The sequence below is a fragment of the Homo sapiens genome, chromosome 6 (assembly GCF_000001405.40).
Source record: "Homo sapiens chromosome 6, GRCh38.p14 Primary Assembly".
Lineage (NCBI taxonomy): Eukaryota > Metazoa > Chordata > Mammalia > Primates > Hominidae > Homo > Homo sapiens.
The window spans coordinates 65,337,415-65,358,718 of record NC_000006.12 but is presented as its reverse complement, the minus strand read 5'-3'; the positions used below and the strand labels follow the sequence as shown (position 1 = coordinate 65,358,718).

The following is a 21,304-nucleotide window of genomic DNA, read 5'->3' as shown; positions in this document are numbered from 1 at the left end:
TCACCTATAGGTGGAGGAAACTTCTGATAAGCATGTTAAGTTGGGTTTTTCTATGGTAACTAAATCCCCCCTTCTCCCAACACACACACACACACACACACACACACACACACACACACTTCAGAAACCTACAGCAACAGAGGATCATTTCTCTCTCTCATGGCATGCCAAATACAGCTCTACTACTCATCCTCCTTAATTTCAGAAATAAAGCTTTGAGTTTATAATCAACGCTTAGGAAAAGAAACCATCCCAGTTTGCCTAGGAATGAGTAGTTCAGTAGACATAAGACTTTTAGCTTTTAAAAACAGAAAGTCCCAGGCAAACAGTTAAGTTGATCACCTTAAATTCGCCATACCATAATAAGTGAACTTATTTAAATGAAGATAATCATACTTCTATTTCAGAGGTAAAGTTTGAAGTGTATAAATTTTGATATAAATTCCCAGACCACAGAAAATTTTCTGTTAAATATTTGTCACCTAATCTATGAATTAAATGGGAAATAGTATTTAAAATGGGATTATTTTAAAGCATCAGTTCCAAATATTAATTTAAATAAATTTAAAAAATCAAACTAAGTGAACACTTCCATGTAAACTAACTAATTTTTAATCTCTTTTGTTCTAAATAAGATTGATGGGCCAAAGTTAATATTACCGTAGTACCTGAGGTCGCTGTGAAACTTAAGATATCTTAACAGAGAAGGTCATCATTCTACTGAAAGTTAACTTCATTTTAAAAGAGAGGTCACATTAAAATAACTGAATTCCACAAAGACACCTATCTGGTCATACAAATAACGTTTGACTCACTTAATTGTCTTTTTATTTAAGTTTACAAAAACGAAAAAAAATAGTGTTTTAGCAAGCAATGAGCATTACATTAGTCGCCATTTCACTGTGAATTTGAAATAATTACTTTTCTTTTATTGGCAGCATTTTTGAACTTCATACTCAAAAACAGGAAGTTGATTTAGTTAAAAATCATCTTACTTGTAAAACATAGTACTTAAGAGAATACTTTGCAGACTCCTGGTCTATATAATAAATATTTTTTCATAATAGTATTACCAAAGTATTGTCATTTGTTTTATATTATCCACCATATAACAATTGTTCCTTAGGAATATCAACTGGAAATCTGGTTCATCCAATAAACCAAAATGAATCTACCAGTATAAAATTAATCAATAAAAACAGCTGTGGTATATTTTAATGTTTCCCCTTTTCCCTTGGCTTCTAGAAAGGTCAGAGCAATTTAAAGACAAACATTTAGTTTATTCACTCAATAGATTGCATCACTTGAAGCTTAAGAAGGTGCACATGCGTATTATAGACGATGGACAAGAACAAATTAAGAGAGCAAAGGCCAGGAATGTATTTCATATAGCAAGCCAAAAAACACTTTAAGACTAAAATCAAAGCAACACCAGTTACCACTAATCTTCTTAAGAAGATAAACATTATGAATGATTAAGAAGTTAACAAACTGAATAAAGCTTTTGTAAATATACAAAAAGAACTTGTACACTGCTCAGAAGGCTTTTCTGTTGAACCTCTACAGAAATGATGAGCCTCTCAACAACATGATGAAAGTGAACCAAGTTAATACTGATGAAGCTTCAAGATTAATGGCTCAGTTGTAATACAGCGGTGATGCATCTAATTCCTCCCAAAGGCCATTAAGTTAAATGTTTTATGCAAAAAGTGCTTCCACTCTTCCATCTCACCATCATACTTTACTTATATTAACTTGCTTTAAAAGTTATATTGTACATCTATTTTCATGTTGGTGCTGTGAAATGTGTGTGTGTGTCAGCATCCTCACATGAACACACAAGGTATAAATGAGAGGTCAGAATCAGAGATAGACCTATATGACAACACTCCTAGCCTCTACATATGGCTTAAATAAATTGCTCTTTTAAATTAACTGCTCTTAACATTCAGGTTGTTATGTTAGAGGATAATGTACTGGTGTTGCAATAATTTTAAAAAGGTATTAAGAGCTGCAATCACAAATAACTCCCTCTAAATCCAAATTTTATCTAAAGTTATAATATCTTCATAGTGTCCTTATTCAGTATAGAAGGGTATAAGTACAGATAAATTGTTCAGGCACCCATTGAAATATATCCTGGGTGACTTTGTTTTTTTCATTAAGAAAAGCCAGAAGTCAAATTTGGTCTTCAGGTTAAAGTAGTAGGAAGAATACCACAGCACCCCTGTGAGCAGGGATTCATATTATTTGTGTCATTTTTCCTGGCATCTCTCATTGCTCCTTATCAGCTCATCTCTCTCAAGGTTGTTACAGAATACTTAATGTCTCATTTTTAAATGGTTCCTTAGCTCCTGAGTGGCAGAAACAGGGATTCGTATCCTTGATCCAACTTCCTCTGATATTCTTAGTTTAAAAAACAAACAAACAAGAACAAAAACAATTGCAGACAAAACAAAATACCTTAGACAGGACTTAATTCGAACTTAGTTTTTGTTGTTGCTGTTTTGTTATTTTTTTGCCGCAGAAGACATGATTTTATTCTTTGTTATTGCTAAATAGTATTCCATTGTGTGTATGTATATGTATGTGTATGTGTGTATAAACAATTTTCTTTATCTAGTCATCAATTGGTGGACACTTAGATTGATCCCACATTTTTGGTATCATGAATAATGAATCTAAGCATACTTGTGCTGGTATCTCTTTTATATAATGATTTCTTTTCCTTTGCGCAGATATCCGGTAGTGCAATTGCTGGATCAAATCACATTTCTGTTTTTAGTTCTCTGAGAAATTCCCATACGATTTTCCACAGTGGTTGTACTAATTTACATTCCTATCAGCAGGGCATAAGCATTCCATTTCTCTGCATCTTCACCAACATCTATTGTTTTTTGACTTTTTAATAATGGCCATTCTGATTGGTATAAGATGATGTCTCATTATGGTTTTAATTTGCATGTCTCTGATGATTGGTGATGTTGAGCATTTTTCCATATGTGGGCTGGCTATTTGTATGTTTTCTTTTGAAAAATGTCTATTCATGTCACTTGTCCACTTTTTAATTGGGTTATTTGGTTGTATTTTGAAGTTGTTGAGTTGCTTGAGTTCCTTATAAATTCTGGATTTTAGTCCCCTGTTGGATGCATAATTTGCAAATATTTTCTCCCAATCTGAAGGTTGTCTGTTCACTTTATTGATTATTTCTTTTGCTGTGCAGAAGCATTTTAGGTTAATCAAGTCTTATTTGTTTACTTTTGTTTTAGTTGCTTGTACTTTGAGATCTCAGTCATGAGTTCTCTTCCTAGGCCAGTGTCCAGAAGAGGATATTCTGAAATTATTTTTAAATTTTTATTTCAATACTTTTGGGGGTACAGGTGGTTTTTAGTTACATGAATAAGTCTTTAGTGGTGATTTCTTAGATTTTGGTAGACCAGTCACTGAAGCAGTGTGCACTGTACTCAATATGCAGTCTTTGGGGACTCAGAGGGAAGGGTGAGAGGGACATGACAGATAAAAACTGTCTATTGTTTTGTTAAGTTTTAAGTGAAGAAATGACTCTACAGGATCCTATCAATATGAATAATGTACTATTCTGCTAAGTTTATTTTGTACAGTCATATATTCAGAATTCATTAGGCCTTCATATTTTCTATCACAATGAGGACCCAAATCCAATAAAGACAATCTCCACTGACAGTGAAGATTGGTTAATGCCATTTGTAGACTTCAACATTTGATGTCTCAGTATAAAAGTAATGGGTTAAAGATTTTGATCATCTCACAACTTGGAAATATATCATAAAATTGTATTTTTTGGTAATCATTTAATATAATTAAATGGTAATTATTTTTTAAATTATTTCTTTTTTTTCTTTCTTTTTCATTTTTTTTGAGACAAAGTCTTATTCTGTAGCCCAGGCTGGAGTGCAGTGGTGTGATCTCAGCTCAGCTCACCGCAATCTCTGCGTCCCTGGTTCAAGTGATTCTCCTGCCTCAGTCTCCAGAGTAGGCGGGATTACAGGCGCACGCCACTGCACCTGACTAATTTTTTGTATTTTTAGTAGAGACAGGGTTTCACCCTGTTAGCCAGGCTGGTCTTGAACTCCTGACCTCAGGTAATCCGCCCGCCTTGGCATCCCAAAGTGCTAGGATTACAGGCATGAGGCACCACGCCTCGCCAATTTTTTTTTTTCCTCACATTTAGTGTTGACTCATACTTTAAGGTTGTTGTGCAATTAGGAAATTGTGATTGCAAATCCAGGTAGACCACCATGACTTGAAACAGAACAATGCTTACTTAGTGTAGTAATTTCATTAATGGAACTGTCAGATTCCTTGTACTGCATGTCTCAGCTGTGTTTTTCTCTGCCAAATTCAAGGGAGATTTGTTAATAAAAAACGTGGAGAAGTAGAAATAATTGAGGGGTATGCTCTAAAGAGAATACATAGCCCTAGTTTGTCTCTAGGGCTTAAATTTCATGCTGGTTGATGTCTTCCTAATACCTAAGTAGCGCAGCATGTACTAAAACTTAGTGATGACCTCAATGTGACCTAAAATGGTTTACATTTAGTTAGTTCAATTGTGGATATAACTATATATGATTTTTGTATTTGAAGATGCTGGAGATTACCATAAACAAATCATATTATTAGACAATATGCCCTGATTATCTTCAACTATTTTCAAATGATAGCAAAAGTCTAATTTGAACACACCATGACATTTATTGTGCTAATTCAACCGTTATAAGTGTTTTAAATGGTGTATCTCTTAATTTATACCATAGGTATTTTAAATTTGTGAGGGGAAAGATGTATTATAGCCCATCAAACAGAAGATTAGGGACTGTTGTATATTGAGAGTGAGTCAAAGCTAAAAGATTATCATATAGGCTTTTGAACATGGATATGACAAAAGATAGTACAGAAAGAAAAGATAAAGAAATAGAAGAAATAAAGAGAAGTATAAAAAGTGTGTCCCATAAAGTTTTCTATAATCACTGTGGTTTTAAAAATTAGCTGTTTATGTTATATGTATATATTGAAAAATATATCAAAAAAGAATTTACCATTTTTCCTTGTTTCCTTTTTGCAGTATGTATGCATTCCAGGGTGCACAAAAAATCCATGTTGGTTTTTGAAGAATGTTTACCTAATTCATCAACACCTCTGCTACTGTGGAGTCACCTTCCATGGTATTTGCCAAGATAAAGGTCCTGCTCAATTTGAATATGTGTGGCAATTGGGATTTGCAGGTAACAAATTTATGTAATTTTTTTCAATCTGCTTGAATCATTTCAAAATTTGCTAGTCACGTATTCATTTTCTAAACACACAAAGTATTTTATATCTCAAAACGTAATATAAACTAAAAATAAAATTAATACTCTTATTTTCTAATGTATTCCTTTAACTGACGTGTTTAACACCAACTACATCCTAGGAAATCTACTTGGTGCAAGAGAGATAATAGTGAAGTAAACTAGAGCTATTTCCTACTTTCATAAATCCATTTGTTGGAAGGGAGTGGTTAATGGACAAATACAGTGATAACTATGTAATTTTATTTAAAAACAAAATGCTCTTATGAAAACAGGTAGCATTCCATGAATGCTTATAAGCAATGAGCCTATTTAGAAAAAAAGAAAAAAAAACTGGGCAATTGAGATATTGAGTTGGGTTGCCAGAAAAGGTTTCCATGAGAAAATGACCCCTGAAGAGAGATATAGAGAATAATGTCATGGCAGAGAAGTTGGAGAAGAGAGAATTCTGGGTTGAGGGAATTGTATTTGTAAAAACATTATATTAGAAGAAATGGCTTCTTTGAAGGCCTGTCTGGGGCTGTGAGAAAAGACTAATAACAATTCCATGGAGGGGGTAAAGCCAGAACTAAAATGCTGGGTTAGATATTTTGATTTCTCTTCTAAAAGGAATAGAAAATTACTATAGGTTTTGACACATTCCATAAGTTTATAACAAGTAGAGAAACACATGGAAGAGAAGGAAAAAAGCTAGGGAGTTGGTTGGAGTAATAAGGTGAGTCATAATGCTGGAAGCTTGAAATAAATGGAAGATCTTGTTTATGAATTGGAAATAGCAAGTGATGAAGGTGTCAACAGGACTCCTAGTTTTCTGTCTTACACACTTGAAATGAAATCATTCCAGCACTTGTGTTCCCATATATGTTTTTGTTTATATTATAGAGTTTCAATTTCTATCGCAATCTATTTTGATGAGCTTAATTTTCATTCTTTGATTACATTTCTAATATTATTTAACTTAGCTGATGCAAATTTGATTTACATTCTTAAGACTATATGGTATTTTCATTCTTTTAAAGAATATTTCCTCTGACAGTGATATTTTGGCACTTCAGTTTACAAACAACCAGCAAATTAACAGTTTGATGTGTCTGTTTTTGAGTAACAGCTAACCAACAGCAGCTGAATTTCTAACATTGTATTACATCACAACAGTGTTGAAGTAAACTAACAATTAGCCTTTTAAACAGAAAACATGATAATTTATTTCACCATGCTCATAAAATAGTATACTGTAGAGTTAACAACCTTTAGTGACAGAAATAGTTATCAGTTCATTAATCAGATCACACTGAAGACCAAAAGTGGTAGAAGAGAGCAAAGCATTGTTGATTATACTATGTTGATGCTAAAAGGAACTTTCAGAGACTCTGTTATGAATACTTACTATTTTATAAATGACACAATCAGACGAAACAAAGAAATAAATATAGTTGAGGTTAGAGGAATTAACCTCAGGACTATTTAGGGATTGTGTCAGTTCAGTTGTTTTTAAACCCTGACCACATATTAGAATCATCTGAAGGAGCTCTTGAAACATACTAATGGTGAACTCTCATTACAGAACAATCAAACTGGAATTGTAGTGAGATGGACACAGAGTATTTTTTGAGGTTCCCTACATGCTTTCAGTGTGCAGATTGAGAAATGCTCTCTACTGTTACAACCAAATTAGTTCACATATTTCAGTGCTTGCATCGTTTTTGCACTTCATTTTCCTTTATCTCATAGTAGGAATAATGCTTTCATATGTTTGGTTATTTTTAAATATTAAACTTCTTTTGAGAACTATAAATTGCTACAGGGAACATATTCACAATGATGAAATGGCAGAAGTATTTTTGAGGGAAAATGGAAGGAGTAATAGTAAGTCAAATTGCTCATGGATAAATCAGCTTTGAGCAAATATAGTCAACTTTATGAATGGCAGTAAAATAACAAATATATGTTTTAGAAAATGGGTGGTGTAATACAAAGTTAAAATTACTCATGGAAAACTTAGCAGAAAGCAATTATCTTCAAAACAGTGTATGCATATTTAATCATTATTCCTTCCTGAATTACTGGACAGAACTTACTGAATATAGCTAATTATAACAAAAATTAAAATTATGTGACCGCTACATCTGAGAATCTAAATGACTTGGGCTTTCCAATGGAAAAGAAACAGTGTGATAATGCACAGACTGAATGAATGTTTAAGTAAAACACTTAAACTCATTTTGAATTTCAATATGAAGATTCAGCAGTGAAACTTCTCAAGTTTTCAAAACAAAATAGAAGTTAAAATAAATGAAAACATATGTAAATAGAATTATACATTTTATGTATTGCAAAATTCCTTCTTATTTCTTTTGATAATTGCCATTAAGATCTTCTTTTACTTCTTCCTCACGAAATATAAAATGTAATTGAAGAGGAACTTTAAAATCATGCTGGTAATTTTGCATGGGGTGCATTAATTTTACCAGCAGGAAGATTATTTTAATTAAGGGATTTTTCTAACAACTAAATTAAGTGTCTTACACGCCCAATCAATTCTTGCCAATATGATTGCTCTACAGAGAAGGGATGGTGATTAATTAGAAGAAGCCCCTTCAAGGACAATTGGTCGACAGTGCACATCTTGAGAAAGAGCTGACATGCACTGTTTCTTTTCAATGTCATCATCTATGTTCATTATGTGTATTATTAAGTTTGAGGAAAAGAGCTACTGACAGAGTGGATAAAGAGTTGCGAAGTGAAGTAAGACAATATGAATCATGCTTAAGAAAAGATAAAATCCTAGACAAAAAAAGAAAATAAGAGAAATTCTTTTAAATCTCTTTCTTCTTGAAGCATGTCGTTATTTCAGTTTGCTTATCCAAGTTAAACATAGAGTTAAAACACTTAACATGTACTAGTGAACTTTTTTTTTAAATAAATAGTGATTGTTGCATTTGTGAGTTGATATTGCAAACAAATATTTACTTTGAAAGTTTTATTTTTCCTTTATAAAGTAATGGATCTTCTGGTAGAAGACATTCCAGAATATTAATTATAATTTATGCATTATACGTTACTTCTTAAATTTTAAACGATTTTTGTGAAAATAGGAAATGCTGTATCAACAAAGCAATCTTTATCAAAATCTATTTTTCTTAGTATATTGTTCTACCTTCAAGTCTTCTTTTGTCAAATGCCTGCTATTTATATATCTATTAAGTATTTTAGGGACTTTAGTTTTAATCTTTAGTTGAAGGCTTTTTAAAAATCTGAGTATTAAAAAAAGTGGTTTAGTATTTTTCATTCATATCACTTATAGTAAGTTTTTAAAGCATTTTTACATGCCTTGAAAGAGAATTCTCTTAATTAAGTCACTAATTAGAAATAAACAACTTTAATAAACAGAATCAAGCTAATTAAATCATAAGGAAGAAAATATTTCTTACAAACAAGAATTAAAATGTTAAAATGCATTGGACTAAAATTAACAAAAACATGCAACTTCTACATGGAGAAAACTTTAGATATTGCTGTAGTATAGGCGCATGCATACATAATCTGAAAGAAAATTCTAAAGATATATTACACTGTAGCTACTATTATTCTTAATAGTTTTTTCTTTCAACCTTCATACTAATTGTATTAGTGATTTACACACTACCATACAGTATTTGAGTATTCTGAATTTTACAATGTGTTTACTTTTGCCAGTGAGTTTTATAATTTCAGAAGTGTACTTACCACAAACATGATAACTATATGAGGTAATGCATATGTTAATTAGCTAGATTTGGTCATTCTGCAATGTGTATATACTTCAAAATATCATGTTGTATATCATACATACATAATCATAACCTTATGTATGATACATACAGTTTCATCTGTAAACTTAAAATAATAATAACCTTCCTCCTGAAAAACTTATATTATACTGGACATACAACTTTTAAAGATTTCAACTCTTCATATTATTTTATAGGTTTATTGAGATTTTAATAAAATAATGGTGTTATCTTTGTGTTCTATGAAATTGACATCTTATTTCTTAATGTTCACATGGAATAAAAGACAAATAAAGCCAAGTGTACTCTGCAAAAGTGCATTGTTTGGACAAGTGGTGTATAGAATGAGCTCTGCCATATATTAAATTAGATTACATAGCTTCATTAATGAAAAGCATGGCACCACCGCATTGGTAGTCAACAAATATGACAAAACACAAAGTCTCAAAATGAATCCAAAACATGAAAAAATATATAACATATAATAAAACTGCCATCTCCGATTATTAGAATAAGTAGGGACTATTTAATAATTAACATGGAACAACTGGATAGCCATCTGAAAAAAAATTCGACTTGTTTATACCTTTAAACATTCTCTGGATTAAATTGAAATAGATACAAGTTTTAATACATAAAAAGAAAGTATAAAAATATTAGAGAATGTTGGAGAAATGCTTTGTAAATTTGGATGGGGGAAGAATGAAACTAAACCCCTATCTCTCACCATATACAAAAAGCAAATCAAAATGGATTAAAGACTTGCATCTAAGACTTCAAACTATGAAACTACTAAAAGAAAACATTGGGGAAACTATCCAGCATATTGGACTGGGCAAAGATTTCTTGAGTAATACCCCACAAGCACTAGTAATCAAACAAAAAATAGACAAATGAGCTCACAGCAAGTTAAAATGCTTCTGTAGAAGAAAGGAAACAACAAAGACAAAACTCACAGAATGGTATATCATATTTGCAAACTATCTGTCTGACAAGGGATTAATAACCAGAATACAGAAGGAGCTCAAACAACTCTACAGGAATAAAATAATAATATGATTTTTAGAAATGGGAAAAAAGATCTAAATAGATGTGGCTCAAAAGAAGATATGCAAATAGCAAACAGGCATATGAAAATGTGCTCAACATTATTAGTCATCAGATAAATGCAAATCATAACTAAAATGAGATGTCATCTCACCCTAGTGCAAAGGACAGGCAATAACAAATGCTAGCAGGAATGTATAGAAAAGGGAACCCTTGTACACTGTTGGTGGGAATGTAAATTAGTACAATCACTGTGGAGAACAGTTTGGAGGTTCCTAAAAAATACTAAAAATAGAACTGCCATATGATCCAGCAATCCCACTGCTAGGTATATACTCAAATGAAAGGGGATAAGTATATTGAAGAGATATCTGCACTTCCATGTTTACTTCAGCACTGTTCACAATAGCCAAGATTTTGAAGCAACCTGGGTGTCCACCAACAGATGAATGAGTAAGGGAAATATGGTATATTTACTAAATAGAATACTATTCAGCTATATAAAAAAATGAGATCCTGTCATTTGCAACAACATGGATGGAACTAGATAGAGGTCATTATGTTAAGTGAAATAAGCCAGGCGCAGAAAGACAAATTCACATGTTCTCATGTATTTGTAGGAGCTTAAAATTAAAATAATGGAACTCCTACAGATAGAGAGTAGAATGATGGTTACCAGAGGTTTGGAAGGATAGTGAGGTGGATGGAAGTGGGGATAGATAATGGGTACAAAAATATAATTAGATATAATTAGTAAGATCTAGTATCTGATAGAACCACAGGGTGACTACAGGCAACAATAATTTACTGTACATTTTTAAGTAATTAAAAGAATATAATTGGGTTATCTGTAACACCAAGAAAGGATAAATGCTCGAAGTGATGGATACACTATTTTCCCTGAGGTGATTGCTATACATTGTATGCCTGTAGCAAAATATCTCATGTAACCCATAAATATATACACCTAGTATTTACCCACAAAAACTCAAAGGGAAAAACAAAAAAAAAAAATGGATGGGGAAGATGTTTATAGTTAATACTAAAAATGTTGATGTCAGAAAGAAAAGACTGGTGAATTTCACTACAAGACAAGTAAAAATATCTGCTTATGAAAGACATAAAAATCAAAATGCAAAAGAAACACTGCACAAACATTTTACTTCACAAAAGATAGATTAGGATCGAGAATATATCAATAACTTAGAAATTAAGAAGGAAAAACTGAAAAAGCTGAAAGGTAAGTCAGTAATATAAACACCCAGTTTACATACGAAGACACAGAGAGTATCCCTAAATATGTGGGGAAAATGCTAAGCTCTATTCATAATGCAATCAAAGCAAATTTAAAAAACACTGTAAGTATATAATTTTTCTCCTCTTAGCCTGGTAAAAATTTTAGAATTGGACAATTTAATGACTATCCATTGCTGGCAATACTGTAAAATCACTATAATATCTAAGTGGGATAGTTTTGCAATATCCGTCAATATTACAAATTCTATACCATTTGACCTAACCTTCTGATCATTGAGAATACATCCACATGCTAAATAATATAGGTGTAATTTTATACCTGGTATCATTGGTTATTAAGAAAAAGAGTAAACATAAATATGGAAATGAATGTAGAACTCATCTAGGACTGAGATACATGATAAGGTGAAAGAAAGGCATGCAGCAGTGTAGAATCATGTGTATAGTAGACAACCTTGTGCTTCTTTATATATAATTTGTGTTTATTTCTGTGGAACACTTTTCCATGTTTTTTGCTCAGTGTTCTGAAATTTCACAATGTTGAAACGTTTACATAGTATGTTCTTGTTGTCTCTTGTTAAACTCTTCTATTTGGAAGCATGGGTCTTTCCATTTTTAGGTAGTTTCTGTATTTTTTCCCCTAAAAAGTCCTTTTTCCTGTTTTTTTCTGTAGCCCCAATTCCAAAAATTGGGTATCACATCTCCTAAATTGATCCCCTCGTTTTCTCATAATTTCTTTTCTCTTTCCTATTTCTTTTCATATTGCTTTATTTTCTACTCCATTCCTCCAATTGAATATCTCAAAATGAGTTTGAATTTTTAATTTGTTTTACTATATTTGTAATAATCTAGGGCAGTTTTCCATCCTTTAAATTATACACACTTCGGACATTGTTTTTTGTTTTTTTTTTCAATAAGGGTAAAATGACTTTTCTTCTCTCTCTAAAAATGTTATAGTTTTGTTTGTTTTAATTTTCTTCTTTTTTGCCTAGTGTCTCAGTTTTCTGTAAATACTGTTTATAAAGATTTGTTCTCTCTCGTTTGGAGTCTTTCTGCCAAATGTGGGGTGATCATATTTAACGGAGAGGAACTAAGAAGGCTGACTGGAAACTGACCATACAAGGATGGGCCATGATGACTGGAGCTCTATGACAGGGTTGCAGGATGGCAACTAGGCTTTCGCTAGGGGACCCTCAAGGAGCTTGGTATCCTTAAGGCAGGCGCTCCTGAGATTCTTTAACTCCTGAAAACAAACCTCGGAAATTGTTTGTTTGTAAAGCTGAGTGAGGAGTTAGAATAATAATCTGGATCACTGAGTTGGGAGAGAGACTCTCAGTGTCAGCTAATCGTGTTTCCAGAGCCCACCTTAGTATCAGATTCTCAGATGCTTTTTAAACCCAGAGCATCTCAGTATTTCTGCTAGTCCAATTTTTTTTTCATAATTATATCCCCTCATTTGTGTTTTGGCTGTAGCCTTTCTGCTAATTTAGTCAGTGTATCATTTTTTTTCATCTTCTCACTCTTTTTTGTGGGTTAAAACGTTTGTTTTATTTATTTTTTTAATTCTCTGTTTTTTTGAGGTCTTGGGAGGCAGAGGGAAGACGTTAAGAGTTAAATCCTAATGTTTAGTCAGATATATCATTATGAAAAACTTTATACTAATAAATTGGACAATTTAAATGAAATGGATAAATTTCTAAAAAAATACTAGTTGGAAAAACTGAGCAAATCATAAATTTCAATTCTAAATAATCCTACAATTTCTTAAATAACTGAATAAAATAGTTTTAAAAATCATCCCACAAAAGCATACTTGAAATATATGGCCTTCTATTAAAGTTCTCCAAATTTTCAATAAAGTATTCATTCTAATACTACATAAATTTGCACAAAAACACAGAGGGAGGAACACATATCAATTAATTATATGGAGCTAGCATAATCCTGTTTGAGTTAATTACTCTCAGAATGTTACAGGTAGAATTTTTATTGACCTATCATTAAATTTACTGATCTTTTCTTCTCTTGTGTTTGATCTGATAATCTCATCCATTAATTGTTTTATTAACATAGCCATAATTTTCTGTAATCTTAAATTTATAAACAGTCAAATTACATACATATGATTGAAGAGATTTGGGATATTGTGCTTGGTTCCTAGCTCCTTCTTTTTTTCCAGTAATATGTGAGATTTCTTGGTGAAATATTCACACGGTAGGGAGATGTCAGTTTATGAATCATTTCTAATTTACAACTCAGTTGTAAAATGCATAGCTTACATTCTATTTTCCAAGAAATGATGCCTTGCGAGTCCCTAGAGTTTAGATTTGTTTACTATAAGCAATCCAAAGCCAGAGATATTTTGCTAAAAGATTCTTTAGATAAATACTGTCCTCTGACAAATATTTTTTGTTTGTTTACTAGGAGATGTAGTCATGTTTACAAAAAGATTGGATCAGGTCTTCTATGTTCTTTTATTACCACTATTAATGACCAATAATGGGTTTTCAGCCCAGTTTAATTAACTCCTTTTTCCCTACAATTCTGAGATTTACCATTTTTTTGTTTGGTTTTTCCTACAATTTCAAAATCTCTCATCCCCTAATTCCTTATCTAATTATCTATTTTATTCATCTTTTCCTGTTGATTTTTCAGAAAGTTTAATATAATCATTTTAAAGTCCTTGTCTGAGAATTCTAGGTCTGGGCCTTAAAATTTTAGTTTTCCTCTTGAATATAGGTCACATTCTCTTGAATATAGGTCACTTCTTTCTTCTGCTCTTTTGCAATCTCTGCTTTTATTTTTGTTATAGGACAGTGTTCTTTTTATCGTTCTACCATCCTTTCTTATAATTATTAATTACAGTTTAGTCAAAATTTGATTATTTTAAAAAATGAATTGGCCTGGGAGCTGTCTCTTCTTCTTCTTGTGATGCTGTATTTCTCAGTTCATGTTTAAAATGAGAGTGTTGGGCTTTGAGGTCTTCTTCAAATTCAATATCATATGCATACAGGAACTTATTTTGTGGCAGATGTTGTCAAATTTATCTTTTCAAGTAATTTGACCACAGTCCTTAATAATTCATTCTGAATTCAAGTTTGTAAGAGTTTATTTAATTTTTTATCTCTTTTTTTTTAAAGGATCTGAAGGCGAAAAGTGCCAAGGGGTTATTGATGCCTATTTCTTTCTGGCTGCAAACTGCACTGAAGATGCAACCTATGTGAACGATCCTGAAGATAATAATTCTTCATGTTGGTTCCCACATGAAGGCACAAAAGAGGTAAGGTAATTTTATGTAGTTGCTTTTCATTTTTCTCTTTAGCTTGTAATTGTCTGATTTTTAGAAAGTTAGAAATGTTTAGGTTACAGATTCTTAAATATTCAAAATATATAGTTTGCATAGTTTAAATATAACTTCGTAAACAAATTCTCAACAGTCTACTTGGAAATTTATATTTACGTCATACATTTATAATATGGGAAAGTAAAAATTTTGAAGAATCATTTTGTTCCTAGTCTTCTTGTTTTTTATTAATGTTATAATTTGCAGGCTGACTAAAGCCTCTCAGATACAGTTGTGATTATGCCACTTTTTTTGCTTACAGATCATAATGAAATGCATTTGTCTTTTGGATATGTTTAAATCTCTGAGAGATTTCTAATCTCTTACACGAGCAAGCTACTTAAAAAATAAAATAAATAAAAATAAATGAAAATAATTTCTAATCTCTAGGCAGTTCCATCACTAAAAATTGTGAGGCCTATGGCAAGAATAAAAGAGAGGCCCTCCTTTTATCCCCTCACCACTGTCTTATACAAATTAAGATTATATTTTTTAATATGTAACAATAATTAAGAAAAATTTAAGAATCTTCATTTTAAACAACTTAGGAATAGGAACTTTTTGTTAAAATGATTCAAGAATTTTCCCAAAAGATAATTAACAAAGTATTTGTAACCTATCTTGTCTTGATACATCCTAATTTGGTCATTTTAAGAAAGCCATGTTTTAATTCTGCATATTGTATACATTTCAGTAAAGACTCATAAGCCCTTTTCTTTATTAATGTATCAATTTATATTGAGTCAACCTTGTAAAAACTGATACAAGTCACTATTTCCTTCAAATTCATCTAGAGGCATTACAACTACAGGCAAAAAGACTTCAAATACCACAGAACATCTAAAAGTATGCCCTAAAATATATTTTGATATATGTTTACAAGTCATAAATATATGAAGTAAGCTTAATACGTTCTTACATATATATATATTTTGCCAATCACATATACATCACTATACACATAGATGATTACATTACAGCTTTATCTTTAAGACTTTTAGCTTTATCAGTATATTAAAAATAGTTACATATTATAATACACTTAATAATTCAGTAACTGTAAACCTTTGTCAGGAACAAGCAAATCATATTTGTTGTTTTGTTTATGTATTTCTAGTTCTCAGTATCCTTTTATAATATAAATCACCAACTTTAATTAAATTAGACAATTTCTTTAGACTCAAGAAAATACGCAAATATAGCAATCTAAGATCATTTTGGCTATTTTATTACTTTATGATTACACATTTTATATAACTTTAACAACTTTTATCATAGGCAAAATAAATATAAATACACATCCTTCAACTGTATTTGCACACCTTATTTCCATTCTATAAGGACAGAGGTAATTTAAATCTATATTTAGAGACTATATTTTTATAATTTTCTTAATTAGGAATTGTTCAGGCAACCAAAATAATTTGATTAATTTGATTAATTGTTCAGGCATCCAAAATAATTTGACTAATTTGATTAAATATCTGTGTAAGTTCTTAATGTTGACTAAATATTTAGAAATTGTAAACTTACACAATCATTTTAAGTTCTTATGATTTGTAGTATCATCAATAAAACATTCTAATACATCAGTGTAGTAAAATTAGTAAGAATTCACAAGATTCAACCCTTTTAAATTATATCTGTTATTAAAATTTCGATTATATCAATTTTAGATTGTGTAATCAGACAATTTGAGGACATAATTATAGAATATTTCTCTTAAAGTTAAATTAAATCAGGCTAATTTTTCTGAAGTGTCATTTATTTAAAAATTACATGAGTCCTTTTTAAATAAATAAGCCTCTTTAGAATAAATAAATACATATGTACTAATATAAATGAGCAAACCTCAGTATTTATGTATTTTGAAAAATCAGAACTTTAGGATTAAGCCAAAGCTCTGTGGAGCCCAATGTTTTTCTCAACTAAAAGACTAACAATATTACCCATACACATGAATGCTTTTCCTGATTTGTTAAAATTTGGGAAGAGAAATCATGTAAATAAAGCACAGTTAATCGTTTCCTTTCATTGTAAAATGTCGACTATCTGAAAAATCATCCTAGAATGGCAATATAGAATGTTATAAAAATATTTATGATCAATTAATTTCTATTTTTTCTAAGCAAAACAGAAAAGGAGAAAAAGTGAAAAATGAATAAATGAAGTTTATCTAGATTCTGGTAGATGTAAAATTATGATTGCAAAGTTTGATTATCTCCCTTCTGCACAGCATTGGAGATGCTTAAATGAAGAAAAACCTATTTTCAAACACATAAGAACAAATTATTATAGACAGTTTAAACAACTCACATACTTGACAATTCCACAGAGCCATATAATTAAAAATCTAGTGCTTCTTAATCCCAGAAGCATGAAAATGAAAGAGAAGGTTTTGTATAATACACAGTAATCTCTCTATTAGATATACAGGACAGAGAATCTCCTCATGAGGATTTTTCCCTTTTTGTTCTATTAGATCTGTCAAATAAATAATCTTGTTCATGTCAAAATTTCCCCAGGGTGGTCACTGCAATTTCACATTGTCCTTTGAGAAATTATGCCAATTAGAGAGATATGTATATGGCTTACAATATGAGGGGAGGAATGTGTGGTGTCCAGGTATAAAAGACTGAGAAGAACCCGTGAAAACTTATGTCAGCAAGCATTTGTACAATATCATGTCTCCAGAAAATTCAAAAGATCAATCAATTTCAAATCAACTAAGACTGTTTAGAAGATTTTTTAAAAGGTGACAATAAAAATGTTGCCCAAAGGAACACCAGAGTGATGTGATCATCTGAACTCATCGCTTATTTAGAACACTTGAATGATGTACTTATAGAACCCACGCTTTCCTCTCCCAGCTGAGCTTCCTCTTATAGACTCACCTGAAAAAGTGATGAAGACGGAGAGTTTTCCTATTTGTATATATTCGAATTTTTTTTATTCTTAAGAAACAACAGAAACATGACATTTGTGAAGTTGATGAAAAATATTGGAGTTTAGACTTGATACTGTACCTATGTCACTTTCACAGTTGGAGAGAATATCCAGTGGTCTCAGCGTAGTGCATTGGTTGCTATCCAGCCTTGAGAGTGAGGGCATTTTAATGAGATTTTGTGAAACTTTGGATTTATTCACTATTTACCCTCCAAAAGACCACCAGACTATTCTGGTGATGGAGAAAAACTAATTATTTTAGACTTCTTTCAATAAGGGAAAACAACACCTTAGTAGAGTCTTAGTAGTGCATCAGATGGGAGAAGTTGTGGAAAGTTATTTATTTGGTGTAGAGCCTTGAGTCAGTTGTAGAGGGTATTTAGTGGGGATTGGTTAGAGTTTATGAAGGAAAGCTTCGTATTGGTGGCACAATATACTGAGAATCTTTAAAGTGAGTCTTTATGTGCAAACTGTTAGTTTTTGTAAATAACTTATTTTAGTTGGTTCACAGTCTTATGTTCCAGAAGCAAGTATTTCATAGAGTAAATAGTAAGTTAGTCTTGCTTTTTCTCAGTATTTTGAAACTTATGATGGGAAATTAGGTTTATTTTAGTTTTCATCATCAAAGACAGAAATTCCAAGAGTGTTGTTTTAATTTTTTTTGTATTAAAATGTGTTCCTTCTCTGAGTGAGGTCCTTTTAAATGCAAATGCTTCTGGAATGGAAACACATAATTACAAATAAGTTTATCTTATTTTCTACAACCATGCTACAAAAATGTTATGAAATTATATATTATTATGAGTTACTGGGAAGGGAAGGTGAATTTCAAACAAAGTAGAAGAGTCCATGGAGCACTAAAATTTGGGATGTGAAAGGTTTTTACCAAGTTTATTTTATTTCAGAATTTATGACTAGGTCTTAATCCAGTATAAATTTGAACTTTAATTCATCCAGATATGATTTTTAAAATCTGTTCCCTTTTAGTTAGCTAAATATAGAGCCAAAACAACCTTCCTCTTTCCCTCACCTTGACTAAACTTCAGACAGGTTTCTTATTGCCTACAGGCCCCTGCACTCTTTTTTTCTTATAGGATGTACTTTAAAAAATTTGCAGTTGTAAATTATCTGCCTTTTTGAAATGTATATAAATCTTCTTCCAACCTCTTGCCAGTTTAAGGATGCCTGGGATGTCTGTATCAAGGACCTTGGAACCATGTCTCTGAAATGTAAACATCAAAGAAAATAGTACTCTTACTTCCCTGTGTACTCTACAGAAGGCCTACTCACAGAGCAAAATCTTTGCAAACTCAATAATAACTCAATCTGCTTGACACATTTCATTGATCAAACTCTTCTCCAGTGACATCAAGTATAACAGTCTTCCCTCTTACCTGCAGGGATACTTTCCAAGACCCCAGTGTATGCCTGAAACTGTGAATAGTACCAAACCCTGTATTTACTGTATTTTTTTCTATACATACATACCTATGATGAAGTTTAATTTATAAATCAGGCACAAAAAGAGATTAACAACAATTACTAATAAAAATATAACAATTATAACAGTATACTATAATAAAAGTTATGTGACTATGGTCTCTCTTTTTCAAGATATCTTACTAAACCATACTAACATATTTTTGAACCGTGGTGACTGAAATCATGGAAAGCGAAACCAACAATAAGGGAGGACTGCTGTCATTTTTTATTAGTTCAAGTTCGCAATTAAAATTTCTCCTGCATTCTATTTTTGGAGAATTGAGTTTAGTTTCTCTCCCCTATTTCAATAGTCTTTAATAAAATTTAATTACCTATCTAACTTTGGTGCAATTTTTACCTTGACAGATATTATTTTAAGGATCCAGCTTTCTACGTATCATGATTAAGAAAAGTCACTTTCACCTCTGAAGTCACTTTATTTATCTATTTAATAACAAGGGTCAAAATGGCAAGATAAAGGGCATATATTAGATCTTACAGAATTTTTTCCCACAGAGTCCTTTGCCAAGTGACCCTATGTACTAATATAATGTGGATATGACAAAATTATTTCTAGAAAATTACACGATATTCCCTGAAATGATAGCTGGCATTATTTAACTAGAGTTGTTTATTTACCTATGCAGAACATTTTCTGTAAGTATGTTATAAATATCCTTCAGGAAGGTTAATTTCTCTACAGATGAAGTGACTTTGGGGTAATAATATTGTGTTATGTATATACATTACTAGTAATGAATTATCAAAAAGGGAATTTCCAGCTGTTTGTTTTACTTCTGTTTCCTTTGGGAAGAAAAGATCTTCCACTGCCCAAAATCATGATTTTATTGCATTCCTTCATCAAGTAAACATTTTAAAATATCTAGAATAAAACTTCTAATTTAATTTGTGTGTATTTTGTAATATTGAGGTTTTTGTGCAATCAAAGTTTAATAATTAATTATATATTTTATGTACATAATATATATACAGTTGACCTGTGAAATACAGGAGTTAGGGTTGCCGACCCCTATTCAGTCCAAAATTTGTTAACATGTTTGATGTAATGTTTTGATAGAATGTTTAATAGAATTTTTTGTATAAAATTTTTAAAGATTAATGGACTCCTTTAAGCAGATCTTTGATTCTCTGTATACACAAAGTTGAGAAATCTTTCCTCTGCTTTACAAGGCAGATTCAAGTTTCTATATGTCTACTGATATAATTTACTCTCTTGCTAATTTTTCTGAGAGACTTCTTATGTGTAAATTTTATAGAAAACCAAAATTCTAGTAGATGTCTAGACTACCTGAACAGATGAGAAATCATGTTGAAATCCAAAATTATTTTTTAGTCCTAGAAATTACTTGCAATAGTTTTTAGATATAGTACATAACTGCAGCATAAAATAATTCACCATCTTTTCCATTTAATAAAAGTATTTCAACCAGAGCATTAGATATAATTTAGGTGTTCATATCACATCCCTTAGACAAAATGTTATGTGGTTTTTGAGGTATAGCCAAGAGAAAAACTCATTATTCAACTTTAGTTCTTTCAGATTTTCTTAAATCCCAGTAATAATTATTTTGAAAATAAAAGGGAAAGCACATAGTTATATGAAGTAAGTCTGTGTTTTCCAAATTTCATACTAATATTCCTTGTTAAAATATTGCTCTCTTTCAAGATTTCATTATGTATTATTTTGTAATAAATATATAATAATTAAAAATACAATGGGTAGTTTGAAGTTTTGGTGTTTCATATTTTCTAATTATATATAAGGTGCAGAAATAATACATTAGGCATTTTTCCATAAAGAATATTTTAAAAATTAACAAATTTTGAATACGGCTTATAAGCTAGAAAATATAGCTTTATAGCCAAGTCAACTTTCTAACTTTGGTAACTTTTCTGAGGTAACAAAAGAGAATATTCTCTTTTTTTAAAGAAAAGCACAGTAAGTTATGTTCAATATAGTCTCAAATCTCAGGAAGCTAAACTACCTGTAGATATAGAGTTAGAGATAGATAGAAAAATAAAGTAGTGTCATAAAATGCTAGAATTTGTTGCTTCTTATACGAGTGTTTATTAAATTTGTAAGCCAGTTATAAAAGTGCTCCTTTAATTGA

General features: G+C 31.1%; 1 protein-coding gene across 4 annotated transcripts in view; it reads left to right on the top strand.

Moving 5' to 3' along the window:
- The window catches only part of EYS (eyes shut homolog), a 1,987,247-nt gene that overhangs the window by 348,508 nt on the left and 1,617,435 nt on the right, over positions 1 to 21,304 (top strand). For all 4 annotated transcript variants that reach the window (NM_001142800.2, NM_001292009.2, NM_001142801.2 and 1 more), the window contains 2 exons: positions 5,102 to 5,261; positions 14,542 to 14,681. In NM_001142800.2, the coding sequence (NP_001136272.1) occupies positions 5,102 to 5,261; positions 14,542 to 14,681 (300 nt within the window). The remainder of the gene's footprint in view (positions 1 to 5,101; positions 5,262 to 14,541; positions 14,682 to 21,304) is intronic.